Source organism: Homo sapiens, chromosome 16, assembly GCF_000001405.40.
Source record: "Homo sapiens chromosome 16, GRCh38.p14 Primary Assembly".
In the NCBI taxonomy this organism is placed as follows: domain Eukaryota; kingdom Metazoa; phylum Chordata; class Mammalia; order Primates; family Hominidae; genus Homo; species Homo sapiens.
Window position 1 is genome coordinate 69627414 of NC_000016.10, and position 17847 is coordinate 69645260.

Here is a 17847-nt window from a genome sequence, read left to right on the forward strand (position 1 = left end):
TTCTTGCCTAATATGACACCTCTCATCTTTAAAAATGATATTTAAAGTTTATCAGAGCATTGTTTTCAGTAAATTATTTTAGTTTCAAAATGAGAACAGTAAAGTGTAAGGTTGTGGTTTAAATGAGGATATTGGTACTATAGTATAACTTCAGATATATTTCTCATATGCATTAACCTATGTACCATTAACCTTATGTACCAATCTTTCTCAGGCTGCATAGTGCATTGCTGAAGCCTTCCTGGTTGAAGGCAGGAAAACTTTAAATATGGCAAAGAAACTGATCAGCCCTGTTCACTGTTCATGTGTTGCCAGACACTTTCTAACAGTTTCTGTGGATTTAATTGTGAATTAGTGAACTTTTTAGTAATCAAATTGATAAGATGACCTGGTTTGCTTTATATCCACTGGGTTCTAAAATGGCTCTGATGATATTTTTCTGGAATTTTAAGTTTTAAATCTGGTTTTAAAATTGCATCCAATAATAAAATATGACAAAGATAAAATATTTTTTATGAGATACTTCACTTTAAATCCACAAGTAGAAATTGACTAACTGATTTCTTTTGTATCTTTTGAGATTGTTTTTTAAAGATACGTTGAATCTATATAGAACTAAAAGTCTGTTTCTTCTGTGCTTTTTAACATCTGTTGACGGTAGATCCAGTTCCTTTTAAAAGCTGAAAAAATTGTTAGGTTTAGAAAAAGAACAGTTCTTCCTTTTAGATAATACCAAATTGAATTTTAGAAATTCTTATATATATAAAAATATATTAAAAGTTCTTGAATTTGGGTCCCTAATGAAATATTAACCTTCTCCCCACCACAGTATATTTAAGAAAAATCTCTCAAGATAAATTACATTGAAAGCTGTGAGTTGAAAAATCATGAAAATAAGAAATCTAATTAAAAGAAGTATTTTGAAGTAATGCATTCTTATTATCTTGAAATTATTGACATTGTAAAGATGGCAAAGAGAGTAAGAAGGTAAACTTTCTAGTTTTGTTATAGTCACACACAGAAAGTTTATATGATCATTAACAAGTCATTTAAAATCTTTTTCAAAATATAAATTTAGCAACCAATGTAGATTATTCTAGGATTCTAATAGCTTAGAAAGAGCACTTCATACCTTACCATTATAAACAAGAGAGTTTAAATCACAGAATAATTATTTTAAGGAAATCAGTATATATCATTAGAATTATATTTTTATTTGACATACTAATATTCTTGGTGATATAACTGTCAGAGTTACTTGGAGTATATTACCAAGTTACTCAATGTTTTTCTAGCCAGAAGGCTAGATAGATGTCTAGGGAAAGGCATATTAATTTAGACTTGTATGGGTTTTTAAAAAATCTTTAGCATTTTTGAAAAAATATGGGCCAGGCATGGTGGCTCACACCAGCACTTTGAGAGGCCCAGGCCGGCAGATCACCTGAGGTCAGGAGTTCAAGACCAGCCTGATCAACATGGTGAAACTGCGTCTCTACTAAAAATATAAAAAATCAGCCGGGCGTGGTGGCGGGCGCCTGTAATCCCAGCTACTCTGGAGGCTGAGGCAGGAGAATTGCTTGAACCCGAGAGGCGGAGGCTGCAGTGAACCAAGATCGTGCCATTGCACTCCAGCCTGGTCAACAAGAGTGAAACTCCGTCTCAAAAAGAAAAAAGAAAAAATATGAAATGTGTAAAAATATTGACTCTTGATATAGTTAATTCTTCAGAGTTTTGAAGGAGCCGGATTGGCTGCTCTCAGGTATGAGGGCCTGGTGGGAACAGACTTCTAGTTCTGCCATAAAGGTTTGTGTTTGACAAGTTTTAAATTAATTTAAATTTTAAAATTTAAAGACTGGGCATATGAGTGTTCATGGACATTTTTTTGTTGTTTAATTTTTTAAAATGTGTTTCTCAGATTCACCAATTTAGATTTTTTTCCTCTTCCTGTTACTAAGGGAATAAGTAAATATGATGCTGCTAATCCACAATCCAGAATATTGGGTAAAAGAGCGTCTATCAAGCCTTTATCTGCTTCTACACAATTCATACTTTTATGCACTCCCATCAATAATATATTTTAGTCCTCTAATCCCAGGGTCAAGGTGTCGGGGAAAGGGGCTTATTTAGACACAATTTCTCCCCTCTTCATGGGGCCAAGTGTCAGAATCTGGGAGGTGGAGTTCAGAGTCACCAATTTTGTTATCCCATTTTTTTTTTTAAGAGACATGTTCTAGCTCTGTCATCTAGGCTGGAGTGCGAGGTGCGATCATAGCTCACTGCAACCTTCAACTACTGGGCTCAAGTGATCCTCCCACCTCATCTGGGAAATAAGTGCACACTACCACACTGGGCTAATTTTTTTTTTTTTTTTTTTTTTTAAGAGACAGGGTCTGTCACCCAGGCTGAATGCACTGGTGTGACCTTGACTCACTGCAGCCTAAACCCCCTGGGCTCAAGTGATCCTCCCATTTCAGTCTCCTGAGTAGCTGGGAACCACAGGCATATGCCACCACATGGACCTGGGTAATTTTTTTTTTTTTTTAAACAGAGTCTCACTCTGTCGCCCAGGCTGGAGTGCAGCAGTGTGATCTCAGCTCACTGCAACCTCCACCTCCCAGGTTCAAGCAGTTCTCCTGCCTCAGCCTCCCGAGTAGCTGGGATTGCAGGTGCACGCCACCATGCCCAGCAAATTTTTGTATTTTTAGTAGAGACGGGGTTTCATTGTGTTGGCCAGGCTGATCTCAAACTCCTGACCTCAGGTGATGGACCTGGCTGATTTTTGTGTTTTTTGTAGAGACAGGGTCTTACTATGCTGCTTCTCCAGGGATGGTCTCGAACGAACTCCTGGGCTCAGGTGATCCTCGAGGCTTGGCCTCCTAAAGTGCTGGGATTACAGGTGTGAACCACTATGCTCGGCCCTGGATTGTTTTTTTAATTTTTTGTAGAGTTGTCTTGCTGTGTTGCCCAGGCTGGTCTCAAACCCCTGGCCTCAAGCAGTTCTCCTACCTTGGACTCCCAAAGCACTGGAATTCCAGGTGTAAGCCACCACACTGGGCCCTCCTCCTCATTTTTAAGAATTCTGTTTTTGTCCCAGTGGAAAGATAGTTAAGCCTTAGATGTTCAATATATCAATGAATGAAAGCTTTAAAAATATAAACTTTCTGAACCATTTTGTAAGTTCTCAGTAATTAAAAGAGAGGCCACGTTCCTAAAACATAAAAGTTATCCAAATGAATTGATGACACTTTTTGGCAAAATAAGGAGTTTATTAAGAAGAAGTACAAATCATGAAAAGATTCTTTTGTTTATTTTTTGGATAATCCTATAGTATAGTTATACAGAATTAAAACATAGGTATTAGGAGAACTAAATGAGTTATATCAGAATTTGGGGCTTTTGAAAAGATGTATGGCAGGTTTGGGGTTTTTTAAAATAACAGCTTTATTGAGACATAATTCACCTGCTGTATAATCAAATATTTTTAATCTATGTGCTTACAGTTTTAATCATTAAATTTACTTAATTTATTTAAAATAGAAAGTCATGGACTTTAGTCTTCATTTTAAGAAATCAAGTTACTTTCTTGTTCTATTCTACACTTGTTTTGTTTGGCTTCATTTGGGAATATAACATTGTGTTTATTAGTTTATTTCAAAATATATTTTTCTAAGTGGACTGTTTGAAGTTTCTTTAAAATTTTTAATTCAAATTCTTGAACTAAACAATGAATTAAACTAGGCCGGGTACACTGGCTCACGCCTGTAATCCCAGCACTTTGGGAGGCCGAGGTGGGTGGATCATGAGGTCAGGAGTTCAAGACCAGCCTGGCCAAGATGGTGAAACCCCGTCTCTACTAAAAATACAAAAATTAGCTGGGCATGGTGGCAGGCTTCTGTAATCCCAGCTACTTGGGAGGCTGAAGCAGGAGAATTGCTTGAACTCGGGTGGCAGAGGTTGCAGTGAGCCAAGATCACGCCACTGCACTCCAGCCTGGGCGATAGAGTGAGACTCCATCTCAAAGAAACAAAACAAAACAAAACAAAAATGAATTAAACTATAGGTTTTATAATTCAGCCAGAGAATCTTAATAATGCATTAATAATTCTTTTTTTGCATAGCTTCATAATATTCATATTTTGGTTTCAGTAATTATATATTAATACTCTTTTTAGAAGTAACAGTACACTAATACTTCATAGCAATTGTGCTTTTGTTTTTGTTTTTGTTTTTTGAGATGGAGTCTTGCTCTTTTGCCAGGCTGGAGTGCAGTGGCGTGATCTTGGCTCACTGCAACCTCCACCTCCCGGGTTCCAGCGATTCTCCTGCCTCAGCCTCCCGAGTAACTGGGACTACAGGTGTGTGCCACCACACCCGGCTAACTTCATAGCAGTTTTTAACATGTATAAAGATAATACACAGTCATAAAGTGTGTACAGTGGAAATCTTGGTTGAATATCTCCACTTGTTGGACCACTGTCGGTTTTTAAGTTCATAACTTGATGTGAAGTGATCCATATAATAAATTTTTCTTTTGGAAGAGCTTTGATATATAGTGCTTTGAGTTCTATGCCATGTCACTTAATAAATCTCAAGTATGTAACAAGTATTTTCTACAAAATTTCATTGAGTGCTATTTATACTATAAGAGAGGGCACTAGAGATGCAAATTAATGTCCTATAATCAAATAAGTGCTATATTCTAATTCATTTCATATCTCCTAATCACCTGAATTAAAATCACAGAAATTTCTAAACCATCTATAATAATACACTGTACAAAAACTGAGGTGAAGAAAATATGTTACTCCTCCTGTAGGAGACAGCTTTTAAAAAATGAAAATATATTATCACTTTTAAGTTCCTACTATGTGACAAGAATTGTGTTAGGTAATTTGCATGTCATCATATCACAATCCTTCTAGCCATAAAGTATCTCTCTTTTTTCTTTTACCTAGTTCTTACTCCTTGTCATTGTGCTTGAGGGAATTTGGCATTGTGTGCTATCACTTCGATTAGGGAAACGCAAGATCCTTAACTAGGCAATGTATAGAATATTGAGTTGAAAAGCCATACCTCTTCTCTACAAGTGTCAGGATCTTCGAATGGGAATTTGATTTCTATAATAATAATTTAATAAAAGTGATTTCTAGCAACAAAATTTTTTATCCCATTGAATTTATTATAACTTAATTTACTTACGTTAGAAAGTATTTACAGTTATATAATGAGGATTTTCTTGAGTTGACTAAATTTGAGGAAGAAATTTGCCTTTGATTGCTTTCCTGGGTTAACATATTTCAGAATTTTTGCCACCTAATGTAGTATACTCTTCATGAAATTAAACCAGAAACCCACTAACGAGAAAGGTAATTCACCTACAGATGCTGTGAGCTAAAATGTTGTGAGTTGATCTTGGTTATTCTTTATGGCCATTCCCTTTTTTCCAAGAAAACTAGACCATTTCTAGAAGGAAGTCAGATCCTAGTTACAAACATGTTGCAAGCAGATTTAAAAATCTCTACTCCTCCTTCTATCTTATTATACTGAAATTACATAGTAAATTTAAATACATACACTTATACATATGGATGGTATGTATGTATGGATTTATGCTGAAGTCTGCATTATTAGAGAGCAAACTTGGGCCTATAGCCATTAATTCAGAAACAACTGCTAATTGTTTGACAGTTACAAATTGACATTGCCAAAAAGCAAACTTGGCCTATTATTGCTTTGTTCCTTTAATATTTCTCTTTTTATTGTCCTCTTAATAACACTTTTATAAATATTGTGATTTATTCAGTTTCTAATAAATAAGCATATTTTTATATTACTTGAGTCAACAGAACAGCATTTTGAAACTGTTCACAGATTCTCATTCATAAGCTAAATACTTATAGAAAATAGATACAGTTACTGATTTTATGCATTCTGTACAATTTTGCCTAAGAAATTAATGCATAGAAGTGGACTTTTTTATATCACCAACAAGATTGAAAATATAAGCAAAAAGTGTTTATAACTAATTGTTTTATAAGAAAGGAACTTCACCTGTTTCTGGATATTTTTTCCTCTGGAATTCAGCCATAAAAAAGAATGTAATCTTGTCATTTATGGCAATGTGGATGGAACTGGAGGACATTAAGTGAAATAAGCCAGGAACAGAAAGTTAAACACTGCATGTTCTCACTCATATGTGAAAGCTAAAAAATGTTGGTCTCATAGAAGTAAAAAGTAAGACAGAGGATAGATAATAGAGGCTGGGAAGGGTAGGAGGAAGGAAGGGATAGGGAGAAATTTGTTGAAGGATACAAAATTTCAGCTAGATAGAAGAAATAAGTTCTAGTGTTCTATACCACTGTAGGATGACTGTAGTTAACAATACTATATAGTTTCAAATAGCTGGAAGGAAGATACTGAACATTCCTAACACAAAGAAATGATAAATATTTAGATAATGGATATGTTAATTACCTTGATTTGATTTCTGTACATTATATGTATCAGAACATTATCTACCCCATGAATATGTATGATTATTATTTGTTAATTAAAAAAATAAAATTAAAAAAATCATACATGGGCCAGGCATAGTGGCTCATGTTTGTAATCCCAGCACTTTGGGGGGCCGAGGCGGGCAGATCACTTGAGGTCAGGAGTTTGAGAGCAGCCTAGCCATCATGGTGAAACCCCATCTCTACTAAAAATACAAAAATTAGCTGGGTGTGGCGGCGGGTGCCTGTAATCCCCAGCTCTTCAGGAGGCTGAGGCAGGAGAATCACTCGAACCTGGGAGGCAGAGGTTACAGTGAGCCGAGATCATGCCACTGCACTCCAGCCTGGCGATAGTGAGATTCCGACTCACAAAAAAAAAAAAAAAAAAAAAATCATACATAGTAAAATGGTAGCATTTTTTGAATATGAGTGGAAGCTACATGAGTGTTTTAAATATTTCATAATTTTAAAATCACTGGGTGCAAATGACTATATGAATAAAAGTGTCCAATAAACTGTACTCTTAAAAACTAACAAATATATGGGATATATTAGATACTTGATGGATTTATATTTGGCATAAGTAAGGTTATATTCACTTTTCATCCATCATTGCATATATGTATCAAGTATGTGTGTACTGGCAGTATTTATTTAGCCCACTCAGGTAGAATTTATTCTTCCCATATAATTACAGGGTATTATCATCAACTAAATTAAATCAGAAAATGAATGAGAAAGCACCTCAAAGTACCAGGTCTATACAGCCATTCTCTAGATCAAACTTACTTACAAACACACACACAACATGTACATAGTTTTATTTATTTGTTTATTTTTCTCACAGATGAGATTAACATGGGCTTTGGAGTCATAAAGACTGAATTTGAATCTAATTGCTATCATATCATATCTCCTATATAGATGGACTCTTGGGAAAGTTAAATAAATTTCTAATAATATTACCCTTGTAGTTAGACAATAATACCAACTTCTTCTTAAGGTTCTTATGAAGATAAATTTGTAAAATAGCCGAACATTTTCTGACAAGTAGTAATTATTGAATAAACATTGACCTCCTTCCCCATGTGTTTCTAACCTCCTTTGTTAGTAAAGTTTTTTTTTTTTTTTTTTTTTTTGTCATCCAGGCTGGAGTGCAATGGTGCGATCTCAGCTCACTGAAACCTCCACCTCCTGGGTTCAAGCGATTCTCCTGCCTCAGCCTCCCAAGTAGCTGGGATTACAGGCACCTGTCACCATGCCTGGCTAATTCTTGTATTTTTAGTAGAGACAGGGTTTCACCACGTTGGCCAGGCTGGTCTTGAACTCCGGACCTCAGGTGATCCGCCCACCTCAGCCTCCCAAAGTGCTGGTATTACAGGCGTGAGCCACCATGCCTGGCCATTAGTAAGGTGTTAAAAAATAGGTTCTCTTTGTAAAAATTAGTTTTGAACTTTATTTTTACTTTTTTTCTTTGCATTCTCACCCAGTCTATTTTTGGTCTTATTTTGAAGTTTCGCACACCAGTCAAGATGTATATATATGTGGGCCATGGGATATACTTTCTGACTTTGTTATTCTGTCATGTTGACACTCTCTCAGTGGGAATCTGCATTGGTCTGTTTTCACACTGCTGATAAAGACATACCCGAGACTAGAAAGAAAAAAAGGTTTAATTGGACTTACAGTTCCACATGGCTAGGGAGGCCTCAGAATCATGGCAGGAGGCAAAAGGCACTTCTTACATGGCAGCAGCAAGAGAAAATGAGGAAGAAGCAAAAGCAGAAACCCCTGATAAACCCATCAGATCTCCTGAGACATATTAACTATCACAAGAATAGCACGGGAAAGACCAGCCCCCATGATTCACAACACATGGGAATTCTGGGAGATACAATTCAAGTTGAGATTTGGGTGGGGACACAGCCAAACCACATCATTCTGCCCCTGGCCCCTCCAAATCTCATGTCCTCACATTTCAAACCCAGTCATGCCTTCCCAACAGTCCCCCAAACTCATTAACTCATTTCAGCATTAACCCAAAAGTCTACCAGTCCAAAGTCTCATCTGAGACAAGGCAAGCTCCTTTTGCCTATGAGCCTGTAAAATAAAAAGCAAGCTGATTACTTCCTAGATACAATGAGAGTACAGGTATTGGGTAAATACAGCTGTTCCAAATGGGAGAAATTGGCCAAAACAAAGGGGTTACAGGGCCCATGCAAGTCCGAAATCCAGTGGGACAGTCAAATTTTAAAGCTCCAAAATGATCTCCTTTGAATCCAGGTCTCATAACCAGGTCACGCTGATGCAAGAGGTGGGTTCCCATGGTCTTGGGCAGCTCTGCACCTGTGGCTTTGTAGAGTATAGCCTCCCTTCCAGCTGCTTTCATGGGCTGGCATTGAGTGGCTGCAGCTTTTCTAGGTGCATGATGCAGGTTGTCAGTGGATCTACCATTCTGGGGTCTGGAAGACATTGGCCCTCTCCTCACAGCTCCATTACATAGTACCCAGTACGGACTCTGTGTGGGGTCTCCAACCCCACATTTTCCATCTGCTTTGCCCTAGCAGAGGTTCTCCGTGAGGGCCCCACCCCTGCAGAAAACTTGCCAGGGCATCCAGGGGTTTCCATACATCCTCTGAAATCTAGGCGGAGGTTCCCAAATCTCAATTCTTGACTTCTGTGCACCCACAGGCTCAACACTACATGGAAGCTGCCAAGGTTTGGGGCTTCCACCCTCTGATGCCACAGCTTGAGCTGTGTACATTGGCCCCTTTCAGCTATGGCTGGAGCATCTGGGACACAGGGCACCAAGTCCCTAGGCCACACACAGCATGGGGACCCTGGGCCCAGCACACAAAACCGCTTTTTCCTCCTGGGCCTCTGGGCCTATGATGGGAGGGGCTGCCACAAAGGTCTCTGACATGGCCTGGAGACATTTTCCTCATGGTCTTGGGGATTATTAACATTAGGCTTCTTGCTACTTATGCAGTTTTCTGCAGCCAGCTTGAATTTCTCCCTAGAAAATGGGTTTTTCTTTTCTGTCGCATAGTCAGGCTGCACATTTTCCATACTTGTATGCTTTGCTTCCCTTATAAAACTGAATGCCTTTAACAGAACCCAAGTCACCTAATGAATACTTTGCTGCTTAGAAATATCTTCCACTAGATACCCTAAATCATCCCTCTCAAGTTCAAAGTTCCACAGATCTCTAGGGCAGGGGTAAAATGCCGGTCTCTTTGCTAAAACATAACAAGAGTCACCTTTACTCCAGTTTCCAACAAGTTCTTTATCTCCATCAGAGACCTGGACCTTATTGTCCATATCGCTATCAGCATTTTGGGCAAAGCCACTCAACAAGTCTCTAGGAAGTTCCACACTTTCCCACATTTTCCTGTCTTCTTCTGAGCCCTCCAAACTGTTCCAAACTCTGCCTGTTACCCAGTTCCAAAGTCACTTCTACATTTTCTGGTATTTTTTCAGCAACACCCCACTCCTGGTACCAGTTTACTGTGTTAGTCCATTTTCATGCTGCTGATAAAGACATACCCCAGATTGGGAAGAAAAAATGTTCATTTGGACTTACAGTTCCACATGGCTGGGGAGGCCTCAGAATCATGGTGGGAGGCAAAAGGCACTTCTTACATGGTGGCAGCAAGAGAAAATGAGGAAGAAGCAAAAGTGGAAACCCCTGATAAACTCATCAGATCTTGTGAGACTTATTATCTGTCAGAAGAATAGCACAGGAAAGACCAGCCGCCATGACTCAAATACCACCTCCTGGGTCCATCCTGTGACACATGGAATTCTGGGAGATAAAATTCAAGTTGAGATTTGGGTGGGGATACATAGCTAAACCATATCAGAACCTTTGTATATAAAAGGAACATTGATAGAGGATGATGAAATCATAGGAAAGACCGACAGTTTCTGAAGGACTAATTCTATAAAGTCTGCTGTTTAAGAGTTCTTAATAGTATTTTTTTAATGAAGTGATTTAAGTTGCATGGTTAATGATCAAAACTTCTGGTAGAGGCTGGGCACGGTGGCTCACGCCTGTAATCCCAGCATTTTGGGAGGCTGAGGCTGGCGGATCACAAGGTCAAGAGTTTGAGGCTAGTCTGGCCAACATGATGAAACCCTGGCTCTACTAAAAATACAAAAATTATCTGGGCATGGTGGCAGGCACCTATAATTCCAGCTACTCTGGAGTCTGAGGCAGGATAATCGTTTGAACCCGGGAGGCGGAGGTTGCAGCGAGCCGAGATCACGCCATTGCACTCCAGCCTGGGCGACAGAGTGAGACTGTGTCTCAAAAACAAACAAACAAGCAACAACAAAAACAAAAAACAAAAAAACTTCTGGTAGAGCAATTTATGACTTCTGGTTTTTTGTCTAGGCAGTTTATTTTGTCTACGATTGGATCTAACGTACACTTTACTCCAGACCCAGGTCTAAAACCTGATTGATTAAATCAGAAGTTTTTAATGATGCTGTAAATGATTTTTTATTATTGTTTAATCATATCTTAAAAAAAACAAACGTAGGGCTGGGCACGGTGGCTCACGCCTGTAATCCCAGCACTTTGGAAGGTTGTGGTGCGTGGATCACCTGAGGTCAGGAGTTCAAGACCAGCCTGGCCAACATGGTGAAACCCCATCTCTACTAAAAAATACAAAAAATTAGCCAGAGGTGGTGGTGGGCGCCTGTAATCCCAGCGACTCGGGAGGCTGAGGCAGGAGAATCACTTGAACCCAGGAGGCAGAGATTGCAGTAAGCTGAGATTGCACCACTGCACTCCAGTTTGGGCAACAGAGAGAGACTCGGTCTCAAAAAAAAAAAAAAAAAAAGTAAAAACATTGAAGTAGAATTGGCAGGAATGCCTTTATTTTTTAATCTAAAATATTTAAAATGTATTGTAGCGTATTGAAGTGTCCTTCAGATAATATCCCTTGGAACTTTTTTTTTCTCTAATTTTGAAGTTTAGTGATACTCTGTTTTTATCTTAAAGTGACATTATCTTTCAGTAGTTCAGTGTTTGTCTCTGTCTCTCTCTCTTTTTAGCCTATACTTCCTGGTATATTTGGCAGTGTAATAAATGTAGCTGTCAGCTAGTATAATTATTCCCTTTTGTGTTTAAATTATTGGAGATAGAAGATTACATCTGGATATTAGTCTCTTCATTCAGTATTGACAAGTGATGGTATCCAGTGGTACTTAAATCATTGGATGATGGAAAACATCTTTTTCTTCCATTAGGAAAGAATTTTACATGGACTTAAAAATCAAAGTATTTAATGTGTATATCTAGTACATGTTTTATACACTGTGCTTAGATCCTTTGGGTTGAATTTTTGTTTGAATAGAAAAAAATTTTGTTTGGATAGAACAAAAAATACATTTAAAACATTGCTCTAAGTTTCAGGATAAGCATTTTATTTTTCAGGGAGCACTCTTTAGTAAATATTATATGAGTGTATTAATGGTACTCTGATAAGGTAGAAATAATTATTTAAGGAGAATTCAGATTAAAAACTGGAGAGTAATTGTTTTATAACATTAGAACCCTGAATGGCAATTTGATGAACTGGAGAAGAAAAAGATGTCTGCAATAAATCAGAAACAAACCCTTCAGCTTCAGCAGTAGTGCTCATTATTTTTTTTAAAAAAATAGAGCCTCTAGGATCAAACATATTATACAAAGTAGCATGTATCATTAAAAGTATAAATTGGTATCCTTTTTAAGGGGAGTATAAAGAAGTATGTAGGAGTCAGTGTGGTCTGAAAAATGGAAAGGTTATTTTGCTGCTAAAATATAGGTTTTTTTACAGTGTAAGTGCATTGCTCAGAACATATCTTCTTCCACGCTTCAAAAGAGTTTGGGTAAGGGAACAGCCTGAAAAACACCTGAAAGAGAGAATTCTGGCTTATGGATTAGAGAGCATCTATAAACAGAACAAATTGGTGAATAAGAGTTCACAAAAATTTTGTCTAAGAAATTTCCCCACATGCATTCAGAGGTTAATAATTAAATTTTTTGAAGTTCATTTTAAAACATTGCTTATTTTAACATGTAAACGTATGTTGGGTGGGAAAAGTACAAATGGGAGATTGAAACTGTTTTAATCATGTAAATGATCAGCCCTACAATTTTTGTTTTTTTAATAATCTGGAATGCTTATTTTATATGCTGGGATGCTAGTTGTTTTTTCTATTAATACACTTAACTTGCATTCTAGCTTCGCCATTCAGAGACAGGCATCGTGTGGTGGGTTGTGTGACAGTGTCTGTCAATAGTGAAGACAAATAGTGCCAGAGACACTTAACCCATCCAATCTCACCCAGGGTATAGGTCGGTCTCGTTTTCAGACTTCTTCATAAGTCCTTCTTTCTTTCTCTCTTCCTTTCTTACTTTTTGTTTGTTTGTTTCTAAATAGTGGATTGATACTGATTGAAACTAAAACTTTTTGTAAAGTTTTAAACTTTGCATTAATATTATAAGAAAAAGAAGAAAAGTAGAAAATGAAGGTTGGCATGTAAGGTGTCGACAAAGCAGGTTTGCAGCCACTTTGTGTGTTCTAGATATTTCAATCTCTTGGCAACATGAGTGTTGGCCTTACAGCTTTTTTCTCTGAATATCTTTCTTCTTTAATCTGAAAATATGTCCTTGTATCTGGTGACTTTTATCAGATGAGAACTTCAGAGTTGGTCATTGTTACCAGTAAGAAAAATATAATGCTTAAGAAGAAATAACGAAGGTTGAACATTATGTGTTTTAGATCAGAAATAGTTTCTGGCCAGGCACAGTGGTTCACGCCTGTAATCCCAGCACTATGGGAGGCTGAGGCAGGCGGATCAGCTGAGGTCAGGAGTTCGAGACCAGCCTGACCAACATGGTGAAACCCTGTCTCTACTAAAAATACAGAATTAGCCGGGCGTGGTGGTGCATGCCTGTAATCCCAGCTACTTGGGTGGCTGAGGCAGAAGAATCGCTTGACTCTGGGAGGTAGAGGTTGCAGTGAGCCAAAATCGTGCCATTGTACTCCAGCGGGGGCAACAGGAGCGAAACTCCATCTCAAAAGAAAAAAAAAAAGGCCGGGCACGGTGGCTCACACCTGTAATCCCAGCACTTTGAGAGGCCAAAGTGGGCAGAACACAAGGTCAGGAATTTGAGACCAGCCTGGCCAATACGGTGAAACCCCGTCTCTACTAAAAATACAAAAATTAGCCAGGTGTGGTGGCGGGCACCTGTAGTCCCAGCTACTCGGGAGGCTGAGGCAGGAGAATCGCTTTTACCTGGGAGGCAGAGGTTGCAGTGAGCCAAGATTGTGCCACTGCATTCCAGCCTGGGCAACAGAGTGAGACTCCGTCTCAAAAAAAAAAAAAAAAAAAAAAAGGAAATTGTTTCCAAATATCTTTTTTTTAATGATTATTTTTGAATAGTCAATAATTTATTCCTTCTTTGTTCCACTATTTGTTCACTTAGCACTCTTGCAAAATTTTATGGCTTTTTTTAAACTAGCTTTTTTAGAAAACTCAATTTTGCACAGATGTTGAAAAATTATAAAATATGTACATATTCAAATGTTAGGGATCAAATTTTAATCTTGGAAGCTTGGAAATTAAATATCATTTCTGTCATATATTTTAAAGCAGTGAAAGGTATTTCTTTCTTTTGAGGACTTCAGCAAATATTTCTAATTTCAAAGCTTTCTATTAAAAGTTTTTAGTTCCATATAAAGTATATCTTTTTTATGATATTTTAAGCACTAATATATTATGGTAGTTAAAATAATTTCTAGTTGACAAATCTAGAGCTGATAGTTCTTAAGTTTAAAATACAGTTTAAGCAAGGAGTATATAAAATCTACATGGGTTTCTATAAATGGTATCGTTTAAAATCTTATTTCAGTCTGGGCATGGTGCCTCATGCCTGTAATCCTAGCACTTTGGGAGGCTGAGGTGGGAGAATCCCTTGAGCCTAGGAGTTCAAAACCAGCCTGGGCAACATGGTGAAACCCTATCTCTACAAAAAAATACAAAAATTAGCCAGGTATGGTGGTGCATACCTGTAGTCCTAGCTATTCAGGAGGCTGAGGTGGGATGATCGCTTGAGCCCAGGAGGTCGAGGCTGCAGTGGGTTGTGATCGTGCCCCTACACTCCAGCCTGGGCAACAGAGCAAGACTGTCTCAACAAAGAAAACAAAAAAGAAAGTAAAGAAAGTAAATAAAATCCTGTTTCATCTTTTATTAAATTGCAGATTCTGGGATATTCATATTCCATGTAGACATTATTTAATATCTGCCAGTCTTTGAATCTCAACTATTTTTGAGTATTTATAGTTTCCATCAATTCTTAAAAGAAGCTGTATGTACAATTCAAGTTCACCATCGTTACTGGCATTTGGTCTGATAACTGGCTACTGTTAATAGTGGCAAACAGACTTAAATACAGGATACTTTACATATGACACTTTACCTGCCTCTTTTAAATTTTAAAATTATTCTATTTAAAATAATCTGACATTATAAATTTCTATGAGTAAATTATAGAATGGTCTATTAATTTTTCCTTTAGTTTGTTGTGCTTTCTGTGGTCACAGAAAATGCTTTAGAAAAAATAAAATTATTCTAGCCCAGGCACAGTGGCTCATACCTGTAATCCCAGCACTTTGGGAGGCTGAGGTGGGCAGAACACAAGGTCAGGAGTTCAAGACCAGCCTGGCCAGTATGGTGAAACTATCTCTACTAAAAATACAAAAATTAGCCGGACGTGGTGGCGGGTGCCTGTAGTCCCAGCTACTCGGGAGGCTAAGGCAGGAGAATCGTTTGAACCCGGGAGGTGGAGGTTGCAGAGAGCCAAGATTGTGCCACTGTACTCTAGCCTTGGCAACAGAGCAAGACTGTGTCTCAAAAAAAAGAAAAGAAAAGAAAAGAAAAAGGAAAAAAAAAGTATTCTATATAAGTTAGACTATAGGTTCAAAGATAATTCCTTCATAAAAGAAAAAAAATCAATAAAATTTATTCACATGGCCATGCACCATGGCTCACGCCTGTAATCTCAGCACGTCAGGAGGCCGAGGTGGGTGGATCACTTGAAGTCAGGAGTTCGAGACCACCCTGGCCAACATGATGAAATCCCATCTCTACTAAAATACAGAAATTAGCTGGGCGTGGTGGTAGGCACCTGTAATCCCAGCTACTCAGGAGGCTAAGGCGGGAGAATCACTTGAAACCTGGGAGGCAGAGGTTCCAGTGAGCCGAGATCGCGCCACTGCACTCCAGCCTGGGCAACAGAGCGAGAGTCCCTCTCAAAAAAAAAAAAAAAAAAGAATATATAGACGGGTCAGAACTGCATTCACACTTTGGTTCTATAGAATATCAAGCTGTTTTTTGATACTTTATTTAGTGATACAGTGGTATTCCCAGGAGGATTTGTCAGCACTTTTCTGGGAATGCTTGGAAATGACTAATTAGCATTAGAAATTTAAAATGTTCTGATATCATTATTTTATGTATTTATATTTTAATAGGATATTAAGGATTTTTTTCATGGTAAATTTATGGATATATAAGTAGGTAATTTGGCTTACTTATAATTTAAGGAAATAAAATTACTAGAGTACTCTCGGTAGAGATAGCAAATCGTTACCTCTAGACTCTTAGTATTTTCTCTGTATCAAATAATGCTATCGTAGTAATATATATTCTAAGTACTTTGAATTATATTTGAATTATATTTGAATATAAAAGAATAAAAATTCTTTTATTCTTCAACCTACATTTATTTGCCAGCTTATCTTTAATGTAACTCCAAATACATACCAAATTTTTGGCTTCCCAGAAATCAATTTAATAATTTGAATTTTATTACAATGTAGGCACTGTGATAGGTGTTGGGAGGATCTAAGATGAGAAAGATATTGTCAGTGCTTTCGAAGTGCTCACAGTTCTTACCCTCCATTTTACTACCTCACATGGCATTATTAATTAATGCACTCAGATCTCTTGCTAACCAGAATGTAATGTTTTGATGTGAAAGATTTTATACATCATTATCATCATCAGAGGATCAATAGTACCATGGTAAAGAATTTTAGGCTGGGTGTGGTGGCTCACGCTTATAATCCCAGTACTTTGGGAGGCCAAAGCTGGAGGATTGCTTGAGCCCAAGAATTTGAGACCACCTGGGCAGCATGACAAAACTTTGCCTCTACAAATAATTTAAAAAGTAGCCAGGCATGGTGTTGTGTGCCTGTAGTCTCAGTTACTCGGGAAGCTGAGGCAGGAGGATTGCTTGAGCCCAGGAGATCAAGGCTGCAGTGAGCCATGATCGTGCCACTGCACTGTAGCCTGGGCAACAGAGTGAGACCCTGCCTCAAAAAAAAAAAAGAATTTTACAGTTTAAAAAAAATTATTTCATTTGTCTTAAAATGAGTAGAATCTTTGCAATTGAGGTAGACTTTAAAAAGTAATATTTTTCTATTAAAAGATGGTTACTGTTCTTTTCTGACAGAGTTAATATTTTCAGTGTCATAGTTTTGTGCTAACTTTTTCTTTAATAAGTATGCCCAGGATCAATCCTGCAGTTGTGCACACACAATCGTGTGTTAGCTGTCCATGGAAAATGTATAGAATATTTAAATTTATGTAGGATATGATATCACAGTTTGGCATACTTACCCTAGAACACACACTTATGTCTGACTGTTAAATCAGTTGGGTTTTATAATCATTACGGTTTTGATATTTGATAAGATTTGCAAGATAAAATTTTTTACCTCAGAGAACAAGACAAGGTTATATCGTGCATATTAAATTCATAATACCATATAACTTGCTTTTGGGTTCATGATTGCTTTTCACCTGTACTTTCCATCTGTCATGAACAGGGATCCCTGAGATGTTCATACTCTGCATTCTCATGTGCATGATCCTTAGATTTAAAAAGGGTGAGTGGGAGAAAGTTGCTTTATAGAAATATAAGTTCACAGCATTCATGTTTTGTGTGTTCCACTGCAAATATTGCATGCTGCATACTTGTATGCTGCATACTTGTATTTCTCTGAAAATGAAGAACATAGGCTCATAAGTACACAAAAAATTAGTTTCGTTTTTGCCAATAGTTGGAACAGATGAAGGAATGTTAGATGTAATACCTTTTCTATTTTTTCTAAAATGAATTCTGTAGTATTTTTCAAAAGACAAGGAAAAAAATTATATTTAAACTCAAAGTGGCTACAAATCAGCTCCTAAACTGTCACTGACAGTAGCATATAGATTTCGTAGTTTTTACAAACTTTTAAAAATATTTATTTACTAAGAAAACATTGCATTAATGCATGATACAAAATTG

General features: G+C 37.5%; 1 protein-coding gene across 18 annotated transcripts in view; it reads left to right on the forward strand.

The window, feature by feature from the left end:
• Positions 1 to 17847, forward strand: part of NFAT5 (nuclear factor of activated T cells 5) — a 138689-nt gene that overhangs the window by 61448 nt on the left and 59394 nt on the right. For 5 of the 18 annotated variants that reach the window (XM_047433510.1, XM_047433513.1, XM_047433512.1 and 2 more), the window contains exon 1: positions 4259 to 17443. The exons of 12 other annotated variants lie outside the window; for them this stretch is intronic. The gene's annotated coding sequence lies outside the window, so the exon portion shown is untranslated. Of the gene's footprint in view, positions 1 to 4258; positions 17444 to 17847 lie in introns of those variants that run through there. One more of the 18 variants, XM_017022872.3, reaches the window with a different exon arrangement.